Below are 25,431 nucleotides of genomic sequence, written 5' to 3'. Positions count from 1 at the left end.
CCTCGGGACCTCAGCAGCCTCTCTGGGGTTTATAAGCAGAAGAAGTTCTTAATGCATGTGAGGAAAAAGCAAAGGAAACATTCACAGAGGGAGGAAGGTGAAGCTGAGGGGCTAATCGGGGAGGCTGCCTTTCCCAGGAGCTGCCAAAGCCATTCACAGGAGAGCTGGAACTAGAAGCAATGGGCCGAAGTTACTCGAGACGGAATTTAGCCCAATATCAGAAATAACACACTAAAAGTCAGAGGAGTCCAATAGCGGAATGGGCTTCTTTTTCTGCCGTTGTCTGTGTTTTTACTTGTTATATCAAATAACATCATCTTAACCGACACAGCAATAAATCAGAGGTAGAAATGAGAGTAAGCAAGGAAGAATTACCTAATAATCTGCACCTTGATGCTGGAAATGACCTTTTTTGGATTTTATGCAATCAGTTCCCTTTCATTTAACTTTATTATGGTCACAGACTTCACATGAGATCTACCTCCTAGCAACATGCTTGAGTGTCCAGTCAGTATTGACTATAGGTTCAATGTAGGGGAAATGATTTCTCTAGGAGTCGTGAATGGCCCTTGTTCAGTATTCAAGTGAAGGTGCAGCAAACCCTGGATGGAGATGCATTCAGTGTGCAGTATCTATGGTGTGCCAGGCACTGAGAACTCATCACTGGCCAAGGCAGACTCAGTCCTCGTCCTCACTGAGCTGAAGACCAAGTAAGGGAGACGGAAGTGACAGGCCATCGTCGGCCGTGCAAGTTGTGGGAAGAAATGTAGGGGGAGCAATAAGGGCATGAGACAGAGGAACTCACCTGGACTGGAGCTCATCCCCGTAAAGTTTACACTTGAGCTGAGCCTTCAAGGTCTCCAGGTAGGTGAAAGAAGGTGCCAGAACATTCCAGCAAGTGCCCCTTCCTATTTTCAGCTTCCCCACCTGTGTGCTCACTGGTCAGGGGAGTTGAAAGACAGAATCCTGAGTATTGAGGGAACAGACTGTGTTTTCTAAGCTTAACATTCAAGAATGGCCAGGGATCCAAACAGCCTTTTTCTCTCCAATGTCCTCCAAAGCTTGCCCCATTAGCAGCAAGTGACCTTAAGAACATGTCCCCAGAAGGCACCATTTGCCAAAAGACAGGACCCACAGTAGCTCCTAGAATGAAGGCAGGCAGACAAGCAGCAGAGAGGCTCTGGAAGAAGCAGGGGTGGAGGGAGGGCCGGGAGCGGGGGTCCGGAGCAGGGCCACAGCAGGGACCTCTGCCTTCTATGGGCACCCTCGGGGGACAGCCACATTTCTCAGCATCAACCCTGTCCCCTAAAACATTATTTGTTAAAAAATCGCTGAAAATATGAACAGAGACCACATCAGGATTTGGAAATCAGAAATATAAAAGCAGTGGGCCTGTTAGGCAGGGGCTGGAGAGCATTTCTCTATTTAAGCGTTGTTTTTCGTTATAAGAATAACAGGTTATAAGTTTGTGCCCACACCAATAAGTGTGGCGGAGGACTCGCTGAACACATCTGAAAAGGCTAATTCAATGCTTCCCACGTTCTAATCATTCACAATTTTTATGAGATCTGAATAACACCTGAATTATGATTATTAGGGAATATTTTCCTTTAAATCTACCCATTTTTAAAGCTCAATGCTCACTGAAGTCTCCTCTTAAATAATATATGTGAAAACTCGTTTCTGATGCGCCCAGTATATTAAAATAAAAACATAACCATTGATTTTTGTTTTAGTTGCTCCAGGTGCCCCCTGAGAAGGCCTCCTCTGCCTCCTGCTACAGGGACTTTAATTTGGAAAATGCTGGGCAGGTCTTCCCTGTTCACGGCTTGTTTTCCCGCACACAGAAGTACAAGCTCATCAGGGCCCCAGGAGAATCCGCCTGAGCCAAGGATACAGCAGAGGAAAGCGGGAAAGGCATGCCATGGCCCTCGCACAGGCTCATGGCCCGGTCACCTTGTGAGGCTGAACTCAAGACCCAGGGGGGCACAGTGAGAAATGCCCCACCTACCCTCTGCGTCTGCATCAGGCCTCACGAGAGCAGCCTCTCACCGAGCCAGCGTTGATTGAAGGTTTCCTGACTTTGTTTCCTTTCTTTTCTTTTTCTTTAAGTTAGAGACAAGATCTCACTGTGTTGCCGAGGCTGGTCTCGAACTCCTGGGCTCATGCAATCATCCTGCCTCTGCCTCCCAAAACACTGGGATTACAGGTGTGAGCCACCGCACCCCCGGTTTATATCTGGCCATGCTCTAAAGAAAGTGGCCACATGAACAGTATCTTAAAAGTTCTGCTTAACCATGACACAAAAGAAATTGTCAACAGCGGGACATGAAGCCCGAGTTCATGGCTCTTTCTTCACCCATGTTCTTGTGTGTCTCATGTTGGGGGCATGAAATGAGTGAATACATGTTTGGGATTAGACCAAGGATTGGTGCAGAGTCGGGGCTCAACAAGGGTATGCAGCTATTATGATCAGTTCAACCACAACGGCCCGTCTGTCAGAAGTCACCCTCCAAGCAGGCAAAGTGGTGTTCTTAGAAAAGATACCCTAGTGATGAAGGGGAAGTTTGGAATCATGGACACATGAGCGATAAACCCAAAAGGCCTCCCGACAGCTGGACCAACCACATGCCAGGAACATGCTGTAATAGTTCTTCCAGTCTTCACAGCAACTGTATGGGAAGGTCCTTTTATTCACTCACTTTACAGATGAGGCTTTTCAAAGGGAAGCAGTGGTTGCCCAAGATCCCCACAAACAGGTCGGAACCGGAAGTGGAACCCACGCCTTCTGGCCCCAGAGCTCATGCTGCGGACAGGCTCTGTTCGACCTGAAGATTATTGAAGAGTCGAGAAGTCTGGTGGGGACTGAGGGGAACTGGAGACGGAAGTCCAGGGCCACCGCGACTTAGCTCCAGCCAGCCAGAGAAGTCAGGAGAGATTTATCAAGAAAAACTGGAAATCTGTGGAAATTTCCTATTTTTCAGTGTTGACAGCTAATTTTAAAATTTTAACCCGATGCCCGTCCAACCGAACACAGCCACAGGCCAGAATCAGCTCAAAGGCCTCTCATGTGTGACCTCGGCGTGCAGATAAAACTTGTCCAGTAGCTCTGATTTCCCGCTGGTCCCATCACTGTCTCCTTTCTTGGGTTCATTATCTGTGATAGTCCCAGGCATTGGAACCCCTGGCACCTGCACCATCCTTGTCCTCAAATGAGATCAATTCCAGTGTGGTTGCTGGAGCTTTCTGGATGCCTCTACTCCAAAGAGAAGCCGTTCTCTAGAAACCCAGAAAAAGCCACCACAGATATGCCCCCGCCCTTCCCGAATCCAATGCAAGGAAGGAGCACATATTACTCTCCCGTCCTCCTCGCCCCTGCCACCGAGCTCACGCCGAGCCCATGGTTGTTTTTTACTTTGTAAAAATAAATAAGCCTGGGATGTTTATGGAGCTGCTTGAACTCAGGAACAGCATAAACTATGAGTTTGTAAACCTGACCGTGGTTTTGGGCCTCATAACCATTGCTCAAAATTCTGGTTTCCACAAAGCCCAAGATGTGTCCTCCCACATGTTTTTGCCTTGCTAAGCTGTTGTTTATTTTTACTGGAACAAAGTCCATTTTGTCCTACAATCATGTACAATGAACTCATCACAGAAGGCCATCTGATGTCCAAAATGCCTTAGAGCTTCCTACGAGGACTGCATTAAGCTTTGTTCCTCCCTAGAAATCATAACTTTCATTTTGCCTAGGAGAAAGGAACTTGAAGGCTCCAAGCTGGTTTGGAAGGCAGAGAACAATTTCCCAGAAAATTTGCAATGTGATCCAGACGTGCATTGCCTGAAGCCTAGATACGAGAGAGCAGGTTACACTTCACACGGTAAAAGCAAACGAAAGCAAGTCGATTGCCAGTTTTTCTTTTGCATCTCTGCTCTGTCCATGGCATGACTTTAGCCACAAGCCTGCGACCGCTTGCCGGGACAGTTCGAGCCACTGCCCAGCCCCTCTCGATGAATGTAAAAGAACCAAAACCAGGCGCAAGTGTTCTTGGGTATGCCCTGCCCGCTCACCGTCAACATCCCAGAGCCAGAAATCACACTGCAGGTGCCATGCCATCAATTTCCTTCCCACAAACGCCACGGCCCTGTCCAGTCCCCACTGTGACATCGCTGTGTCTGTTTTTTAGGAAGGTTTTTTTTCATCCTTTACAAGATTAAGTATTTTGATCTCACATCTCTGTAAGAGGATGTTATAACTTCCAGCCACCAGGACAAGTCTCTGCTTAGTAACCTCCTTGCCTGTATTCCTCCCTCCCCTGCCCTCCGATCCATCGTTGACATTCTCACGCATTCTGCAATTGATGAGAACCTCAGGTTCACATCTTCCAGTCACCAGAGGAGCAGGTGCTCCCTGAGAATGAAATGCTTGACAAAGATGCCGCAGGGATCAGCCACTCACCTTCAGGGCCACACTGCTCTGGCTTGCTGATGCAGGAGCTGTTGTACCTGCCGTAATAGAGAAGCGTGACTCCCTTTTCCTCTTTCAGGTAAATGCCTTTGTTGACCTTCCCTTCCACAATATCTAAGGAAGAAAAATGACAACATCATATGTTAATAACCTTCCGAGATTAAAAGTCTGAAGATGTGTGTCAGACCTACAAATAACTTATGTGTAAGTATGCATTATTATTTATCTAAGTATATATTTATAACATCATATATTATTCTATGATAATATTCATAGCATCAGTAATATTATTAGTAATTAAATTGTAAATTATTAATGTGTATGTCAGATAAAAATTTAATATTAAATGATATTAATGTATTTGTATATAATATGCATGTATTATATACAAATGCATACAGACCTTTGCATATGGATTTCATATTGCATATCATATCGTATGATGATGTGATAATTGTGATATTTGCCAACAGATGGGTTACCAAGCGTGGCGTGGCGACCGCCTCCTGTCCTGGACTTTGTGCCGACCTGCTTTTCGAGCCCTCCCCACTCCCGTCCTCATGCTGAGTGTTCCAAGTGGAACGTTTCAGTGCAAGTGTGAACGTGAAGCTACAGCTGAACTCCTTCTCCTTTTGAGTTTTAATTGAAATCCCCTGAACCTGGACAGGTAGATTCGGGATTTTAGCAGAACCCATTTTCAGGCGCCAGGAGGAAAACCCCGAGCAACATTTTGCATAGTCCCAGGAGAGCCTGTGGGTGACAAGCCCAGCTGGCCGCAAATCCCGAGGGGCACTGCCCCGTCCAATCATCTTGTGTCCCGTTCCCATGGCCAGGGTATCTGATGGTGAGTGTGTGGGGTAAATCGTTTACAGAATAAATAAGTGAAGACTGTAAAAATCAGGAGCGAGTAGGATTTACTGTTAACTGGGGTCATAATCGCTCAGAGATCTTTGCTACCACATGGGTCAGGGAGAATGTCTGAGCCCCCGGCAGCCGTCAGCCCAGCTGAAGACACACGGGAGAGCTAACAGGGTCTGTGGACCTGACCCCAACCCCAGCTCAGGCTTTCCAGCTATATTGTCACATGGATAACCGACTCAAGGGACCTCAGTGTTTTTCCTTACTGCTTTTAAACTCATTTTTAAATTTTATCCCATTTTTGCTGAGGGACACCTATATATTGCAAGGTTAAATGGATCACTAGTGGTTGCGTAATTGAGCTAGGCTGTATAAACCCCTAAGTCAGACTGCTTGACTGGAAACATTAATTTTGGAAGCCAATCACCTTACAGTTGAAAGAGCAGTCAGTTTTTGTGTTGAAAAGGATCACAGGGTAAGATTGACAGGGTCAGAACTGGCTTCTATGCTGATCTAATAAATGCCTCAGTTGCTACTACCCCTTTTGCTTTGAGCTTCATGTTGAGCCATGTAGGCTCTGGAGGTTATCAGATAAGACAATAATTTAACTATGATTCTTGTGGGTATATGTTTCACAAACAGCTTTTAATGATTTTTTTAAAGTCCAGCTACAGACGAAATGCTGATTTTAATGTTTATAAGAAATCAAATGTTTGATGAGGTATTTTTAAATTAACTTTAATTTTCCATTAAAATGGCATGCTTTTCCTCCCCCAAAGAAGACAATTCATTTAAAAATCCAAACAATCTCTATGTCTAGAAAAGGTCTCATCTTGGGTCTGTTTTGTTCTGAAAACAAGCAGCTGGCTTAGACAATCCTGGGAACTTGAAAGAATATATATACCTTCTAGTGCAGTGGTCCCCAGCATTTTTGGCACCAGGGACCGGTTTCATGGAAGACAATTTTTCCATGGATGGGTTGGAGAGGTTGGTTTCGGGATGATTCAAGTGCATTACATTTATTGTGCACTTTATTTCTGTTATTATTATATTACAATATGTAATGAAATAATTGTACAACTCACCATCACGTAGAATCGGGGGAGCCCTGAGCTTATTTTCCTGCAACTAGACGGTCCCCTCTGGGGGTGATGGGAGACAGTGACAGATCATCGGGCATTAGATTCTCATAAGGAGCATGCAACCTAGATCCCTCACATGTGCAGTTCACAGTAGGGTTTGTGCTCCCAAGAGAATTTAATGCTGCTGCTGATCTGACAGGAGGTGGAGCTCGGGCGGTAATGTGAGCGATAGGGAGCAGCTGTAAATACAGGTGAAGCTTCACTCACTCACCCACCACTCACTTCCTGCTGTGCAGCCCAGTTCCTAACAGGCTACGGATTGCTGCCAGTCTGTGGCCCAGGGACTGGGGACCCCTGTTCTAATGTATTGCAATCTTCCTTTAGACTTAACCCTAGTGGTTATTTTTTAACACCTTGGATCTGCTGTCTTGACTGGGACATTTGCTCACTTGCTAGCCAAGACATAGTGAATTCAGATACTACCAAACAGAATTGGCCTTAGAATTCATCGTAGATCCAAACTTGACAGAACGAAGAACAAAAGTACATAAATGCTCACCTACAGTTGCAGAGAGATTTGAGTAGGCAGAATCATTGGAATACACAAAAGTAGCATTACGGGAAGGAAGCACAGTGAGCTTGTGGGTTCGGGACGCTGGGTGAAACAACAAAAAGAAAAAGCACAGCAAGTGAGTGAGACAAAAGACAAATGGGACCAACATATCTCTCAACCTGCAGCAGGCACCAGGAGGGGCTCTTTCATCCAAGAGCACCCTGGACTTTCTCTTCGGACCTCACATCCCCCAGCCTCCACCACCCTTGTTTACTTTGGTCAGCAGCTCGGCCACTCCAGTGGCCCCACTCAGTTCCCACACCAGGGCGTGATGGCTGCTGAATTTGGCCGCAAGCGATAGTTCTAATTTTCTGGCTCCAACACATAGGCAGATACTTAGTTGAGAGATATGAAATTGAACTTGGCCACTCATAACACAGGCTCAACAAAAGGATGAATGGTTATGATGTCACAAGAACTGATGAGACAGACACTCTGCATGAAAATGACTGCGTGAGATGATGACAAATGGACAAAACGACGGAGAGTTCGGCAACAAACGACAAAGCCGCACATCCTCAAAAGGCTTGCCAAAGCTATTCACCTGTTCCCCGCAGCAAAATGTGCTGATGGGGTCTATTCTTTTCTTTTCTCCCTTAAGAAGGCTGTAATCAATTCAAATATGCCAGCATAGCATTACAACCTAGAGAATGCATCCAGTAGGGAAGTGCAGAGAAACCTTCCACATTGCAATGTTCCAGGACTAACACGGATATATTAGTGCTTTACTGGAAGTCAATATATTCAGGGAGCAAAATTCAGCCACAGTGTGTAACTGTATCTGTGTGAATATATCACCTTAGGAGAAGAATTTTTCATAGGTAAAGGTTTCAAAGCACCAAGAGTTACTGATTTAAGCCACCACAATGAGTTCAGGTATAGGGGTGAAGAGAGAAAGACACTGACAGTTATTCAAGCTTTTGTTTGAAAAAACTCCTAGCATTTTAGTTGCTGGGTCCTGGAACAGTGAGCTGTTTCAAGAAGGCATTTCCACTTGGTGAAATGACCCCCTTTCCATGGCTTTAAAATAAAGGCCTTGAAAAAAGAAAACTGGATGCCAACAAGGGAACGTGGTTCGTTTGAACCCGAGCCAGTGGTGAAACAAACTTGCACAAGGGCTTTCTCAGCCCTGCCAGGCCGACCCTTTGGAAAAGACATCTGGCTGTAGGGTGGTTTCCAAATGTGGCCATGTTGCTGCCCTACAGGCAGGCGGATGAGAGCGATGCTGGGCAGGGAGCGCGTGGCACCCACGCAGGTGCCCTTCACGGAGCGCGTGCTCCTCAACGGCGCCCCAGTCTGAGAACACCAGCAACAGAGGCAGCACCGATGGGTCTCAGTTTGCAAATTTTAAGGAAACATTTCAGAAGCTTCAGCGGTGATGTCCAGCAACACATTAAATCACAGGAGTAAGGAAAATGCCAGTGTGTCAATGTGGAAATCACAGTCACCAGCAATACATGGTTTTAAAAATAAAACGCCTCCCACGGAACAGGGACGACCGAAGCACGTGCTAGGATTGCTGTACGGTAAACCCTCGCCGCCCATGTCAGCCATCTGACATGATCAAGAGCAATCAGTAAATAAAAATAAAAATGGAAAACTGTCATACAAAGCTTACGGTTTTTAAAAAGTCCTTATTAGAAAGGGGAAAAAAATACCCAGAAAGATGTGAGGTTTCTCCTACCAGCAAATGTCTGAATGAACTCAAACAGACTATTTGGAATTGGGCCTCACTGGAAACGTCTTAGGCGATGCTTAATCTTTTCAAATGGAGCTGATGTGTGGGGAAGCTGACTGGTAGATGGGGATGCGTTTGCTGAATGAAACGGGGGCCCTTCAAACATGTGAGTTGGTCTTAGTTGGCATGACCTTTGACATCTGCTTCATCAATAGGCCCCTGCTGTGGTCAGTGTGCAGATGACGCTAGTCCATTCAACGTAGAAAACAGACGCCTGACTTGCACATAGAGGCATCCTCAGGCCAGCTTCTGTTTCAAGATTGTTGGGGAAAATGCACATTTTAATCATATTTTGAATCAGAAATTCTCCCATTCAATACGCAATAGCTCTCTCTATAAAAATTCTAGTAAAATGCTTCGTGGCCTGGCACAGTGGCTCACGCCTGTAATTCCAGCACTTTGGGAGGCCAAGGCCAGAGGATTGCTGAGGCCAGGAGCTTGAGACCAGCCTGGCAACATAGCAAGACCCCATCTCTACAAAAAAAAAAGCTTTGAAATAACTATTACGGGAAGTTACACAAGTATTTGTTCATCTCTATCACCGTGGCTTCAAAGCAGATTGTGTCCACATCTGCTCCCCGATGGCCCTGGGATTCCCCGGCCCACAGTCACTCTCAGCACCCACGTCCCCCAATGGCCCTGGGATTTCAAGGCCAGCCACTCTCAGCACCCACGCCTCCTGATGGCCCTGGGATTCCCGCGCCCACAGCCGCTCTCAGCACCCGCGTCTCTACCTCCAGTTGTATCCTGAAGTTCATGGATCCCATCCACATTCTCCAGTGGCCAGTAATGGGAAGCAGACGCCAACACCTGAAATCCTTGGGGAAAAAAGAATAAAAATTTTAAATCATCATTAGAGAGGAAAGAACCAGAGGGTAAGAACCGCTTAGCACACACATTATGGGGGAAGAGTAAAAGGATCCCATGTCTGTGGGAGATACTGAAAGCATATTTAATAAAATTCAACACACACTCTTGGTTAGAAAAAGAAACTCTTAAATTAGAAGTTGGTAAATAGTTCCTTAACTGGACAAAACAGGGTAAATAGGAATAGATGCCTCTTGTTGCATGAAAACAGAAGCCACTGCATTTACTGGTGACACACTAGAAGCTTGCCCATTCATGTCAGGAAAAGATAAGAATGTTCCATATCCCGCTGTTATTTACCATTATTTTAGAGTTAATATCAATGCAATCACACTATAGAAACAAATAAGGGTAAAATCATTTTAAAAGAGGAGAAAACTAACATGAATGGTATGCCAGACACTGAGGTCCTTAACAAGCACTTCCTCACTTCATGCTAACAATAATCTATAAGAAAATTGAATTCTTAGCCTATTTGTAAAGACAGGAAATGAAAGTCTTGCACAAAATCACACTGCCAGCTCATTGTAGACGCAATACTCACTTTCTCAATTTAATCCTGGTCATTCTATTTTCCCTCTATGCTTCCTCCACACTAAGCATTACTCAGTTTGAAATTTCCTTCGTGATCCTTATACTTTGAGTAAACATAACTTTATGCAGGTATGTTATTTTCTATTCTGCTCTTCTCATTGAATGCTATATGAATTATTTCTTTGTTTCTATCTAACCCTCATAATTGAGTTTGGGTAACAGTCTCTTGAGTGGCTGCCCCATAACATGTTATGCCATTCTTCTGTTAATGAACAATCAATAGCTTCCATCCTTATTCGTACAGGTGGCGCTGACATGAGTGGCTTTATGCATACAATTTTAGTCTTCTCGGGGATTAGTCCTCTGGGATTCATTCACAGAAGTGGAAATAATGGTTCAGATGACTAAACAATAATCAACTGCCCCAAGCGACTGCTAGATCATAGAAAAGGACAGACTAATAGTCTCTATGTTAGTCCTTGTTTTTTTAAAAAAAATACTTTTTAAAGAGGAGATAATAAGATCATTATTTTCAAATGATGTATGCCTGATAACCAAAGTGGAAAACGATTACAAATAAGAAAAGAATTTCGTCAGTGAAACACTATTACAAACAACAAAAGAATTTAGCAAGGAGGCTTGTACAAATTTAATATACAAATGTCAATTGCTTTTCTGTATTCCAACAATAATGCTACAAAAAAAGAAGAGTTCTCCTAAGTGCAGCCAACAAAAAGAAAATATTTATGAAAACAAGAATAAGAATTGTACAAGATTTTCATGAAGAAAATAAAAAATAATAATTCTGAGGGATGTGAAAGCACCCTCGAATGCATGAAGGATTCAACCTATTCTTGGAAAAGCCGACTCAATGTCGTAAACTATACTTTAATCTATGAGTATTAGAAAATTTGTTGTAAAAATGCTGAGAGAATTTTGTGGGGGACATATCTGATTATGGAGTTTATATAAAAAATAAGAAAGAAAATCTGGAGAAGAAACAGAAGAGGATAAAGAGAGGAGATTCACACTCAATGATAAGGCACAGCATGAAACTACAATAAAGATGGCTGATTGTTACACGCGGATAGACAGTTCAGCGGGAGAAAAATCCACAAAGATGCCTAAGTACATATGGAAATTCAGTTTGTGATAAAGAGGGTCTTTTATTTTTTATTTACTTATTTATTTTTTGAGATAGAGCTTCGCTGTTGTTGCCCAGGCTGGAGTGCAATGGCGCGATCTCGGCTCACTGCAACCTCCGCCTCCTGGGTTCAAGCAATTCTCCTGCCTCAGCCTCCCAAGTAGCTGGGATTACAGGCACCGACCACCATGCCCGGCAATTTTTGTATTTTTAGTAGAGACGGGGTTTCACCATGTTGGCCGGGCTAGTCTCGAACTCCTGACCTCAGGTGATCCACCTGCCTCAGCCTCCCAAAATGCTGGGATTACAGGCGTGAGCCAACGCGCCTGGCCCCAAAGCTGGTCTTTTAAATTAGAGGAGAAATATTATTCAACAAAGACATTGGAACCAGTTCACCACATGGAAAAAATTAAGATCCCAACCTCACTCTTTATACCAGAACAATTTCCAGATAGATCAAAATTTACATGTAATAAAATAAAACAAAACACAATCAGAAAACAAAGTTTTCTGTGCATATTATATAATATGTATTATATAATACATATTACAGAAGGGTACTGATTTCTTTTTAGAGGTATTAAACGTATTATATTAGTACAACTCCTACTATTAAAAAGAACCAACCGAATATTGAGGCAAAGGAGATAATCAAATAGTTCAATGAAAAAGAAATAAAAATTACGTATAAATATATCAAGTGATGCCCAACCTTGCTCATAAGTTTAAAAAGTATATTAAACAACAATGAGCCTATCAGAGTTCACCCATCAGACTGGCAAGCAAAAAGTTAGCTATACTAAGCTGGCAACTTCCACCACATTTCTGATGGGAGTTCAAATCAGTACACCCCTTCTGAAGGGTAATTTGGCAGTATCTATCCCAATTTTAAGTGTACATTCCCTTTGATCTAGTAATTCCACCTCTAGGAATTTATTCTAGAGATACACTCATACATATGATCAAAGACCTCTGTGCAAGGCTTGTTTGTTGTAGAATTTTTTAATAGTATCAGAAACCTGAGAACAGCCTAAATGCTCATCTACAGAGCGCTGGCTAAATAAATATGGCACATCTACACTCTGGACTGGAATACAGCTGGGACGAATACTAAGGTTCATAAATGAACTTAGATGGCATATTCTTTCATTGATATTGTCTAATTTTTAAAAAGATGATAAAAATGTGTACACTATGAGCTATTTGTGTAAAATATAGTTGGTTCAGGGCAGGGATGGAGAGAGAAGAAGAGAGAGAGATGTCTGGAGAGATACTGCAGAAACCAATACTGCTGTTTTGGGAGTGAAGAAATCGAAAAGCTGAGTGCGAGATGTAAGAAGAAGATTTACATTGCATTATCTTTCTGTTCTATTTGAATTTGAATTTTTCTTTCTTTTTTTTTTTTTTTTTTTTTTTGAGACGGAGTCTGGCTCTGTCGCCCAGGCTGGAGTGCAGTGGCGCGATCTCGGCTCACTGCAAGCTCCGCCTCCCGGGTTCACGCCATTCTCCTGCCTCAGCTTCCCAAGTAGCTGGGACTACAGGCGCCCGCCACCACGCCTGGCTAATTTTTTGTATTTGTAGTAGAGATGGGGTTTCACTGTGTTAGCCAGCATGGTTTCGATCTCCTGACTTCGTGATCCGCCCGCCTCGGCCTCCCAAAGTGCTGGGATTACAGGCGTGAGCCACCGCGCCAGGCCTCTATTTGAATTTTTCAATCTGTATTCCTTTAGAAATATTTTAAGGCTTGCTTTCACAATTGAAGTGCCATAGGTAGTTATGAACATACCATCATTTTCAGATAACTGACGCACCCCATGTAATATCTGAATTTTTGTTCACAGGGCGCCCAACATCCACACGTGTCCTGTTCCTTGGTTCCACTTTTCAATTTGCATCTGTCCCTCCAGTTTTATGTACACAAGCTCAAAATGTAAGCCAGGAACAAAGTTAACTCTGTAATATGAGCTAAAGAGAAGTATCTAAACAATAACTTAAGTGTCTTGTTACTCTCTAAATAAAATAGCCCTATCTAGATAAAGTAGCACATTAGAAAGTAAGGCCTGACTTCAGTTGATTTCCAGTGGGGATAGTTCTACTATTGTAATGCAATATGAAGAATCTGAAATGCAAAAATCAAAAAGATTCATTTTCATTCCCACTGTGCTTTTTTTCCCCCTAAAGTCTAGGATATTCATTTTGAAGAGGACAAAACCTCATTGACTTGTTATTCAAGTCATCTGGGAAAAAAAATTGTAAAAGGAAATAACATCTGTTATACAAAGAACAGATGTGTCTTCAGAATCCTCATCTTTATAAAATAAACCCTGTGGACGATAAAGCCCTTCCCATTCTTTCCATTTACAAATGGCCACAATCAGTCCTGGCAGAAAGGCTGACAGAGTAAAGTGATGGTGTCTCGTTCACCCCAAAGCCAGCCAGAGTTCATAGGTGGCCAGTGATGAGAAGAGCAGGGTTGAGGCCAGAACACTGCCTTCTCTCCACACCACTGCACTTCAGACAAGTGTAAAACACCTCAGTTGCCACAGATGTTTTGCAACTAGCAACACTGACTGGAAACAAGCAATGAAGGGGCTGCAAGCTGTGACACCCGCAGGGGACGGCGAGTCCTGAGAAGTGACTGGACAGAGTCCAGGGATGGCATCCAAGGTAGTTAACAAGCTGGAAGGCACAGGCCAGACTCATCAGAGCAGATGCTGGAAACCATCAGCTGGCACCACTGCAGTCGTAGGGCAGGAGAGGCGGAGGCGACGTGGAAAACTGTGCCCTGTCTAAATTAAGTAGTGCCTCCTGATGCCGAACGAAGCATTGCGGCTCTGCAGGAAGCTTTGCCCAGGATTGTCAGGTCTTCATTTTTTAAAGCAGAGTCAGAAATTCAGATTTTTTTTTAAAGCAAAATCTATCAAAATTTTAATGTTAGCAATTTTTTAAAATAAAACATTGTGTGGTGCTAATGGGATGGGCTGAATTCAGCCCACAGGTTCCTTTTCCAACTCAAGGAGTAAAATAACTCATAGTCCTACAAGTTTCATCAGAGCAAGAAAGTCTCATTCTTTCGGGAAAAAGGCACTCTGTGGCATTTTTCCCATTGAGAAGGTGGCATGAGACCACCTAACTCTGCAACCACCTTGATTTTCACCAAACTCTTCTAAAGACTAAACGTCTTCTTAGGCAGGTCAGCCAGCCAAGCAAAACCATGGCCCATTTGAGGACTCCAAAACAACCCCAGCCTGCAAAACAAGTAGCAGGGGACAGAGCCAGAGAGAAAATGGAGGAGGGGTGGGGAGGAAGAGAAAGAACGAGAGAGAGAGAGAGGAAAGGGCAGAGAGAAAAAGGGGTATTTTCAGCCCACATCACCACAGTTCTTCAGAAATAATTTATCATCCATATGTAATGTTTTATTAAGTTTGGTGTGTGCGTGTGTCAGAGACAGACATAGGAGAGAGATGAAAGACAGAGTATTAATACTCAAAACAACTTAATAAAACCTTTAATTTTTCCTTTTCCATTTTTCTTCCAGATTTCCCTATTCTTCTTCCTTCCCTGTTACTTACTCCTTGTGTGCGTTCAGGGAAACCTTTATCCCTTGGTTTCCTGCAGGGAAATAATCTTCAGTGTTGCACTGACTTGGTCCAGCTGGAATCTATATCACACAGAGGAATGCCGGCCCCTGCCGATGGTCGGGCTGGCTTCGTGGCTCCATCCTCCTTGGCCTCCAACACATGGAGCTCATTTTTCCTGCATAACTTTGCCTGCTGTTCCCACTGCCTGGAATGCTGATCCCCACGTTTTGTGTAGCTCATCCTGATTCAGGTCTCAGTTCACAGGACCCCTCCCCTCATGCCACCCCTTCGTCGCCACCACCATCCACTCTTTCTTTCAGGTCCTTATTTGGTTTTCTCATGGCATTTACTATTGTTTGGGATTTTTTTGTTAGTATATTTGTGTGTTGTCTCCTATATCAGACTCTGTTCCTTGAATGTTCTATTTACATTGTATCCTCCATGTCTAAGACAAGGGGCCCAGGAGGTGTGTGTGTATGTGTGTGTGTGTGTGAGAGAGAGATTTTTGCATTTGAAATCTCCCAAATTTTTAATGTTAGCAATTTAAAAACTAACTATACAGGTAGAATGAATGATAAAATGCAAAAATAAATAAATAAATCAATAAACATAGAATATAATTATCTGTATAATTCTAGTATTTAGAAAATCTCTATTTGCCAAATTTCCATTTCTTCAATCGGATATAAACATTGTTTTTTTAAAATTCTATTATAAATACTATGAAGATGAAGAATCCAGTTTCTGCCATGGCCTAGCAGTTCTGACAGTTCTTTAGAAACTCTAAGGCATGATGGAGATCTAAGGAATGATAATTACTGTAATTATCTGCTTGGCCTCCCAGACCCCTAAATAGAGCGGGTGAAGTGAGCCGCCCCAAACTTCTGGAAACGGCTGGAGCCAGCTGTGCCATGTGCCCCAGGACCAGGAAACTGCTGGGTAATGACATGCTTTGGGTTTGTTTTAAGTTCTCTTTTCCTCATTACAAATGTCATGTATAAAATGGCATGCTTATAAACTTTTTAAGAATGGCCTGCAATTTATTGGCCAGTGCCATTTATGGATTCAGATTAATCAACCATCACAGCTTCATAAGGCTGTCCCCTGGGGAGCAGAGGCAAGAAATTGGGCCGCCTGAGGCCCTGGAAAAGCTTCCAGATGTGGGGAGGGGCCCGGACTCTGCCGACCCTGGATTTCCCTCTCCAAACCTACCTCCTGGCTTCCCTGTAAAGTGAGAAGTGGCTCAATAGTCCCCACGGTCCCTCAACTACGACATTCTATAATGCCTCCAGAATGACCATCTATGGTCACAGATAAGCACAGAGTATGCAAAGGCTTAAAATGATTTCAAGTTGTTTGGCAATTACTTACAAAATGAAACACCTCTCTACATGGTAAAGATCTGGCAAATATCTGGCTACCTCTGCCAGTGTAGACAGGCAAACCAGGTAATACAAGCCAAAACAGCCACCTGTGAGCCGAATGCATGCTGGTTGGCTAGCTTTATTGACGCGGTTTACCAGATGACTAGCAAATCTTCAGTGACTGTGCACAGACAAGTCAATAAATATATAGATATTTTTTGAGACAGGGTCTCACTCTGTCACCAAGGCTGGAGTGCAGTGGTGTGATCACGGTTCACTGCAGCCTTAAACTTCTGGACTCAAGTGATCCTCCCACCTCAGCCTCCCAAGTAGCTGGGACTAGAGGCATGCACCACCATGCTCAGCTGAATGTTTATTTTTTATAAAGGTGGGGTCTCACTATGTTGCCCAGGCTGGTCTTGAATTCCTGGGCTCAAGTGATCCTCCTGGCTCAGGCTCCCAAAGTGCTGGGATTCCAGGAATGAGCCACTGCGCCAGCCCAACAAATATTTATTGCGTGTCTCCTATGCATAAGGCACAGTGCTGAGTGCCAGAATCAGAAAACAAGAAATGCTTAATAGTTCTGAGAACCTTTAACAAAATACTACAGTTTGGTGTGGCCGTGGTGGAAAGTAGGCTGGCGTTTGGAAGATCAGGCTCTCGCTCTATACTGGAGACTCCTCCTTAAGGCTCCCCCAGCACCTGAGCGAACCTATGTCCCGGTACTGACCACTCGGCTGCTGTTTTCCAAGAATCTCTGTCTGTGTCTGTCTCCCCTAATTCCCCTCACGCTGTGAGCTTCTTGGGCTTAATATTGTGTCCTCTGAGCCCTGTGACCTTGAGCAAATCGCTTGGTCTGTCTGAAAGACACGCTTCTCCACCCGCGGTGCGAGGGCGTGACACCACCGCAGGGCTCTCGCAAGGATGATGTAAAATCATTGAAAGGCCCAACGTGCAGACAAACTGGCCGCTTTTCATAGCTGTTTAGCACTCTTTAGAATGAAATGCTACGTGTTAAGGAGCTGTTCTCTTGCGATGGAAACAGGTTGTTTCTGTTGGTGTGTTTGTGACGCCCGTGCCCGTCATGAGCGCTCCTGAGGAGACGCGCCAGGGCCAGGCTTCCTCTGCCAGAGCTGCCCGGGGGCAGGCGAGCCTCAAGGATGGAAGCTGGAGCATGAAGGAGGCCCCTAGATTCTGCTTCACACAGACAGCCAGGGATGCGGCTTTTCAGCAGGAAACGAGGTGAGCAGAGCCTGAGATGTCGGAAGAGAAGACAAAAAGGAAGGACTGGGGCTGGGTGCGGTGGCTCACACCTGTAATCCCAGCACTTTGGGAGGCCGAGGCAGGCGGATCACCTGAGGTCAGGAGTTTGAGACCAGCCTGGTCAACATGGTGAAACCCCGTCTCTACTAAAAATACAAAAATTAGCCAGCCTTGGTCACGGGCGCCTGTAGTCCCAGCTGCTCGGGTGACTGAGGCAGGAGAGTCACTAGAACCCAGGGGGCAGAGGTTGCAGGGAGCTGAGATCACGCCATTGCACTCCAGCCTGGGCGACAGAGAAAGAGTCTGTCTCAAAAAAAAAAGAAAGGATTGGATAGGATGGAGGGAGGGGGGAGGGAGGGAAGGAAATGAGGGAGGGAAATGGAAAAAAGAAAATGAGACAGGAAACAAAGTGAGAGAGAAGGCAGGAGAAGGGGAGAAGGGGAGGAGGGGAACAGTGAGGAGGAAGGGAAGGAAGGCAGGCAGCAGGATGTGTTGTTCATGGAGGGCACCTAAATATTCAGCAAATGTGTCCACCTTCACCATTATTCTAAAAAGGAAGGAAGGAGGAAGGAAGAGAAAAAAGGAAAAGTTCAAAAACAATTTGCAGTGAGAGGAGGACGAGGAAGGACGAGGAGAAAAAGAGGGACTGCTAGAACCTGGAAAGCTGAGGAGAGAGAAACCTTGCGGTTTCAAGAGCTCAGGAGGCATGGCCGCCTTCACTGTGCTTTTCCACACAGACTAGGGGTCACCACACCCTTCCGTCCCTTTCTACTGTCATCAGCATGGCCGTCGTTTCTCTAAGACAGTGCCTTGATCAGGAAATGTTGATTTCTACCCTAAATCCAGACTTGGAAGAACAAAGCTTCTATATGGAACAAAGACTGAGTTCAAACTGCTCCTTCAAGTTTAGATACAAAAATGCAAGTGCACATGTGCATGTGTGTGTACATATGTGTACGTGTGTGGATATGTGAGCTGTGTAAATAGGTGTACATGTGTGTGGATGTGGGATGTGTGTGAATGTGTGAGGGTGTGTGTGCATGTGTGTGCACACATGTGAGTATGTGAAGATGTGTGTGGACACGTGCATGCATATGAGTGTGTGTGGACGTGTGTGGGGTGTACGTGTGTGAGCATGTGTGTATGTATGTGCATGTGTGTAGAGATGTGCGAGCATGTGCAGATGTGTGTAGACACGTGGACTTTTGTGAATGTGTGTACGTGTATGCATGTGTGTAGAAATGTATGGATGTGTGTGGATGCATGTGGATGTGTGTAGTCTGTGACTGTGTGGTCATGTGTGTAGACACGTGGATATGTGTGGACATGTGTGAACATGTGTAAATACATGTATGTTGATGCACGTAGACATGTGTTGGCACATGTGGGTGTGGGTGTGTGCATGGATGTGTATATATGTGCATGTGTGTCTACACATGTGAATTGTGTGGACACATGTGTGGATGCATGTGGACACATGTTGATGCATGCAGGTGTGTGCATATGTGTGGATGCTTTTGCATGTGTATGCATGTGTGTCAACATGTCTGATGTGTATGGATGTGAGTGGTGTGTGGACATGTGATGTGTGTTGGCACATGTGGCCATATGTTGACACATGTAGACATCTGGTGTGTGTGTGTATGCATATGTGTCACCATGTGTGGATGTGTGTGATTTGTGTTGGTGCATGTGGGCATATGTTGACACATGTAGACATGTAGCATGGGGGGGCATGTGGACACATGTGCATGTGTGAGAATGCGTGTGGGCTCTGTATCATAAGCAGAAGTCCGGGGAGAACCCGCACAGCTTTTCTCCAACACTGAGCAGCAGTGAGGGCCATGCTGGGGCCTCGGGGGCCACCTGCCTGCTGCAGGAGCCGGGTGCACAGCTCTGCCTGACCGCCCTGCAGTTCGAGGGGCTACCCCTCTCCTCCTCTCAGTCCTCTCCCCTACTGGAGCCCAGCCCAAGCCATGAGGCCTGCATTCACGAGAAGCAAGGTGTCCAAGGTGGACACGTCCTCTCTTTAACGCAGCGCTGGGCATGTTTATTCGTTCCCAAGCCACAGGAGCCCTTGTTTCATTCAGCGATTTGGCTGAGGAGAGGGGAATGTGTGGAAACTCACAGCTTCCACACCTTTTTAAAAGGAGCTCCCTATGCATGTGGACGAAACAGAAGTGGCAGCGTCCCCACCCCCGAGTTGGTGAATGGAGGTGGTGGCGAGGCGACGATGCCTGGAACATCCTGGCATGGGGCTGCCGGGCAGCCGGAAAGGAGACAGAGGCTGAGGGCACAGCCCCTGGCCCTAGACCCCAGCAGGCTCCTGGTGCTCCATCCAGGAAAGGGGCTCTCCCTGGAGGCCTGGGTATCGCCCTGGGATCTGCCCACAGTGCTGGCCTGAGTCCATTTGTGGTTGATCATTAAAGGCTGGTTCCCAGCCAGGCCCAGTGGCTCACATCTGTAATCCCAACACTTTGGGAGGCCGAGGTGGTTGGATCACCCGAGGTCAGGAGATCGAGACCAGCCTGGCCAACATGGCAAAACCTTGTGTCTACTAAAAATACAAAAATTAGCCAGGCGTGGTGGCATGGGCCTGTAATCCCAGCTGCTTGGAAGGCTGAGGCACAAGAATCGCTTGAACCCGGGAGGCAGAGGTAGCAGAGAGCCGAGACTGAGATCTCACCACTCAACTCCAGCCTGGGTGACAGAGTGAGACTTTGTCTCAAAAAATAAAAACAAAAATAATTTTTTTAAAAAGGCTGATTTCCCATCAGAGACAGGCAGGGCCATACAATAGCGCTCGGGGGGGTGCCCAGCCAAGCTCTGGTGGGGCGGGGGCAGAGGCTGTGCTCACAACAGGCTTCCCAGCAGGGGTTCAGGCACTAGCAGGGTCTCCTCCCCACCTCCTGCAACTTCCAGCAGGGAGCAACAGCCCAGTGACTGCCTGCTGCTCCCAGAAAGCCTCGTCTTCCCATCCCTGCCCCTGGCTGACCAGAACGTGTGCCCACACTCTTAACAGCGAAGGGTGTGTGCCTCCCTGTCTTCCCGAGAGAAGCCCCGTCCTGATGCTTCCTGGTTGGGTGTCACAATGGCCAATGGAATGTGGCTCTGGGGCTGGAGCAAGGGTGGCCCTCTATCCCGAGTCCCACTCATCGGCTGCTCCAGGCTAAGCTGGTCAGCACTCTGAGGCTGGAGGTCCCGAGACCCTGCTATGGGCCAGAGCTCCAACTCCCCACCAGTGAATCTGCCCTGAAGACATGAGATGGGTGTGGTGGCTCACATCTGTAATCCCAGCACTCTGGGAGGCCAAGGCGGGCGGATCACCTGAAATCAGGAGTTCGAGACCAGCCTGGCCAACATAGTGAAACCCTGTCTCTACTAAAAATACAAAAAAAAAAAAAGCTGGGTGTAGTGGTGCACACCTGTGATCCCAGCTACTCAGGTGGCTGAGGCAGGAGAATTGCTTGAACCCGGGAGGCAGAGGTTGCGGCCACTGCACTCCAGCCTGGGCAACAGAGCAAGACTCCATCTCAAAAAGAAAAAAAGGAAGAAAGGAAGAAAGAGAGAAAGAGAGAAAGAAAGAGGCAGAAGGCATTCAAATGAAGATCATATTTCCTTAATCACAATGTTTCATATGACCCAGCTCAAGGGGCCCAGAACCACTTCTCCATCCACCGCTCAGCCGGTGAGGGGTAGCAGAGCTGCCCAGGGTCACAGTGTGTGGTGAGGCAGTGAGGTCGGGGACCAGGAGCCCAACAAGGGCCATTCGCTGATGCCTCAGAGATGAACAAGTGGGCTGTTCCTGAGATACCTGCACTAGGCAGGGGGAGAGCGGTGCTCAGAGTGAGAAGGAAACACTCTTACCTGGATGGTCCTGCGATCTGGAGTAGACGCCACGCACCTGCGCACAAAAGACCACAGTGTGAGACACACTCAGGGAAAGCCTCCGGAGAAACCAAGCCTGTCGCCATCCTGGCCACTTGGGGACATTACCTGAAAGTTGTAATAAAATAGCAGCAGCCAGGAGTACCAGCAGCACAGCCGCAGCAGCTTTTCCATGGCTCTCTCGGAGGTCAAAGCTCGGAGCCAAGTGAAATTCCTGAGGGTCTGTGAGAACGGGACCTCTTAACCTTCACTTCCTTGGAAAAGGGACATTTTCACAGGTTCCAGGGGAGAAAATTTCTGTCTCCTTAAAGTTTGTGAAACACAGCTGTCTTGGAGACCTAATGGGTGTTTCTTCCTCGTCTCAAAACTTGAGATTCTTCAGTGATCAATAAACACGTTGCGATGACCAGAGCAGCTGTGGAATGCAGGGAGGAGAAACCCAAACCCGACTCGCAGTCCTGGGAAAGCAATCCCAGGTCACCACTGTGACCGCGACCTGCGCCCGGGGACGGGAGGCTGTTTGTCCTGCGGTATTTTCTTTTTATTTCAAGAGCCTCCGTTTGTCTCAGTCAGGTTTGGAGCTTCCCTTTTCTCTGAAGAAGGTTTTGTGCGTGGTTTTCCCCTGGAGCGCCCGCCTGCTCCTCGGGCTTGTCCTGCGGCCGCTCTCGAGCTCCTTCTGGTCTGGCTCAAGTTCACACCTCCGTCCTGCTCTCTGGGTGGAGGGGGAGTGAGTGATGTAAGTCTCTCTCCTCAAACTTTGTTCTGTTCTCCTTTTCTATTTATATCCCCACTGCTGTGTCCTTCCTGGGTCCTAACTCCAGCCTCTTAACAACAGCTGAAATATTTCCAGGATCTCAGGCTCAGAATCAAACCAAACAGACATGGTGTGTGGTGTGTGTGCGTGTGCGTGTGTGTGTTACTGATGCCTTCTGGTCAGCACCTTCAAAGTCGGCATAAATATTAATAAATACAAAATGCAAAACAAACCATAAACTCTGTTTAGATCTGAGTCTTGTTTGCCCCCAAAAGAGAATGAAGTTGACAGAGGGATGGAAAAGAGAAAGCAGCACACCCACTGTGCCCTCCATATTAAGCGCTGACCACATTTTTCTCTCTAATCCTTTCGGACGTCAGTGAAAGCTACGGAATTAATTACAAGGTACGCTGCGCAATTACACCATCCCACATATACCCCCACCCCAGCACCAGGAGGATGTTCTCAATGGGATAGAAAAGAGTCAGCCCCTTCGCCAGACATGCCTCAGTTTACCCAAGACCAAAGTTTATCCGATCTACTCCAAATACACGTGGACACACAGAGACACACACCCTAGAATTGCAGTCACAGCTATATTTGCTATGTGATTTAAGTAATATTTACCGCTTCATACTTTCTCCAACATTCACCAGCTGTGCTCCTAGGCAAATTACTTGATCTCTCTTAGTTTTCGAATTCCTCATCCACAAAATGGGGGTTAATAGTTCCTCCTCCTCAGGGCTGTAACAATAAATTAGAGGACAGATCCAAGGCTCTTCAGGCAGTACTTGGAAAATATGTGGCACTCAGTAAATGCTGCTATTTTCTATTAAGAAAAATTATCACTCAGTAAATGTTAGCTATGATTATTATTAGCAAGTATAACATAACACCCAGTAAATGTTAGCTGATACAGTTATCTCAATTGTCCTGACTTTAAATGGGAATTAAGAATCCTGAATCCAACATACTTCCTAAAGAGGATAAGAAAATGACTTCCAATCTCTGTGGGACAGAAAAAAAGAAAGTGCTGTCAAAACGTTAGGTGATTATTTTTAACTTGTGCCTGCAGCCTACAACCGCTCAGATCCTCTGATAGCCTGAGCCTCTCTGTGGAGCTGGAGAAGGGTTCCAGAGAGTTCCATCTCCTAGCAATGGAGAAACTGTGAACTCCAAAGGCCGGGGGCTGTCTGTAATAACGACCTTTATCCTGTTGCTCAGGCTGGTCGGCTTCAGGGAAAACTAATTTACAACCTTTATCTCTGCCATTTCATCAGCTCTCCAGTCCCCCACTGCCTCTCGCTGGAAGAGGTGAAGGGAGGGACAGGCAGCTGCAGGTTTTTCTCAGCTCCAGTTTTAACCTGGAAGAATTCAACAGATTGCTGAATATGCGGACCTTTCCCATCTCCATGACCGAACAAAGCCAGCATGGTTTCTTTTCATCATAAAATTGTCATCAGATAATGGGAGACACCCCGATTCAATGACTGTAATAAAAACTAGATAGCAAAGCAATTCAGCAGAGCTTGCCCTGCAGGCATCTGCACTCATCCTCAGACTCACTCTGACTCTCCATCCCGGACTACAGTCTCGTGCCTCATGCTATTTGCCTGCGTCCTGTCTCAGGCCTTGTTCAGAGGCCCAGATGAAGAGCCCGCCTCCATGTAAAGCAGCGTGTCCTGAAGCCTGGAGATTTGAGACAGGGCCTTGAGTGGTCCATGGGCCTGGAACCAAGCAACTCTGATGTCTCTGAGCATCTCATTCCATCACCCAAACGTCGGGGTGTTCGGCACCCAAACATCACCTTGACAGCAGGTCTCCCTCCCCCTAAAGCCCTCCCCTGCTGTATTTTCTCGATCCCACTAACCACGATCCAATGTACTTCATATCTTAGACGTTTATTTCATTTATTGTCAGTCTCTCCCCACCGAGGCGTAGGCCCCATGAGAGCAGAGACCTTCTTTCTGCCTGTTCGCTCTGCACCCCAGCCCCGAGAACAGGGCTTGGTACTTGGTGAGCACTCAGCGTTTGTCACCAAACCCAGCCTGGCTCTGCCCTCCCGCAGCAAAGCCAAACATGGACGTCGGGATTGCAGTGAGAGGAAGTGAGGCATTTAGAGCAGGGCACCAGGCGAGCAGAACCTGGCAGCTCACACTTCAGACCTGAACTCCCCGATGGCTGATGGGGGAGGGTTTTTCAAGGTGGAGAGGCAGAGGTTACAGGCTAAGTCCCACATGAATAATACCTGGAGGCTGCACATTGGTTTGACCTAAAAAGCTAGGACATCTTGAACTGGGGGCCCACAGGTCATATAGGTAGTAGATTCAGAGGTTTTCTGATTTGTGATTGGTTAAGAAGGCAAGGCTTTGTCAAAAAATTTGAGATCAGCAAAAAAGAATGTTAGCTCTGGCCTGTGGGCATGACCTCCTCCAGGCCCCTCAGGAAGAAATTTAGAACAAAGAACAGTGGTGGGCCCGGAGGGGTGGATCCCAACACTTTGGGAGGCTGAGGCAGGTGGATCACCTGAGGTCAGGGGTTCGAGACCAGCCTGGCCAACATGGCGAAACCCCGTCTCTACTAAAAATACAAAAATTAGCCGGGTGTGGTGGTGCATACCTGTACTCAGGAGGATACTTGGGAGGCTGAGGCAAGAGAATCGCTTGAACCCAGGAGGCGGAGGTTGCAGTGAGCTGAGATTGAGCCACTGCACTCCAGCCTGGGCAACAGAGTGAGACTCTGTCTCAAAAAACAAAGAACAAAGAACGGTGGTGGAGTTCAGCTCTCCGCTCCCCCATATCAGAGGTCTGTAAGTCAACAGATCCATTTGGTGGGGGTCCAGGTTCTGAAAAACAACTCCGGGTCGTTTGTTACGATGTTGTCTTTAGTTTCTACAGGGAAGCAATGAATTCCTGACTCTAACTCTCTTGACTATTGTTTCTCGCCACTATTAACTTCTTGCTTCCCAAGTTGCTCATGTATTTCTCAGGGCTAGCTAGGTGGCTGGAATTCCCCTTCAAGGAACCCAAGATTTTATTGTATTTATTTATTTATTTTGAGATGGAGTCTCATTCTGTTGCCCAGGCTAGAGGGCAGTGGCACGATCTCAGCCCACCACAACCTCACTGAGCTCCCAGGTTCAAGCAATTCTCCTGCCTCAGCCTCCTGAGTAGCCAGGATTACAGGCACCCGCCACCACACCCGGCTAATTTTTTTGTATTTTTAGTAGAGGCGGAGTTTCACCATGTTGGCCAGGCTGGTCTCGAACTCCTGACCTCGT

General features: G+C 46.2%; 1 protein-coding gene and 1 long non-coding RNA gene across 15 annotated transcripts in view, besides 1 other annotated feature; one reads left to right on the top strand and one right to left on the bottom strand.

Moving 5' to 3' along the window:
• Positions 1 to 22,130, bottom strand: part of ADGRD1 (adhesion G protein-coupled receptor D1) — a 187,563-nt gene extending 165,433 nt beyond the window's left edge. For 10 of the 14 annotated variants that reach the window (NM_001330497.2, XM_011538204.2, XM_011538206.2 and 7 more), the window contains exons 1-5: positions 21,506 to 22,130; positions 21,377 to 21,413; positions 9,491 to 9,574; positions 6,965 to 7,060; positions 4,457 to 4,579 (exon numbers count right to left, since the gene is read on the bottom strand). In NM_001330497.2, the coding sequence (NP_001317426.1) occupies positions 4,457 to 4,579; positions 6,965 to 7,060; positions 9,491 to 9,574; positions 21,377 to 21,413; positions 21,506 to 21,571 (406 nt within the window). In that variant the 5' untranslated portion in view covers positions 21,572 to 22,130. The remainder of the gene's footprint in view (positions 1 to 4,456; positions 4,580 to 6,964; positions 7,061 to 9,490; positions 9,575 to 21,376; positions 21,414 to 21,505) is intronic. The other 4 variants (NM_198827.5, XM_005253566.2, XM_047428719.1 and 1 more) reach the window with 1 other exon arrangement.
• LOC124903054 (uncharacterized) lies at positions 4,579 to 5,861 on the top strand. Its single transcript, XR_007063527.1, has 2 exons — positions 4,579 to 4,669; positions 4,939 to 5,861. It is a non-coding gene; the product is annotated as an uncharacterized LOC124903054 (long non-coding RNA).
• Positions 17,019 to 17,313: an enhancer, noted in NCBI's record as "tiled region #4789; K562 Activating DNase matched - State 6:EnhF". NCBI's record gives its function as "activates a minimal TATA promoter and a strong SV40 promoter by Sharpr-MPRA in K562 cells {active_cell/tissue: K562}" and the evidence as "EXISTENCE:reporter gene assay evidence [ECO:0000049][PMID:27701403]".
• Positions 22,131 to 25,431: the final 3,301 nt, after the last annotated feature.

Source organism: Homo sapiens, chromosome 12 (assembly GCF_000001405.40).
Source record: "Homo sapiens chromosome 12, GRCh38.p14 Primary Assembly".
In the NCBI taxonomy this organism is placed as follows: domain Eukaryota; kingdom Metazoa; phylum Chordata; class Mammalia; order Primates; family Hominidae; genus Homo; species Homo sapiens.
This window is presented reverse-complemented; position numbering and strand designations above follow the sequence as displayed.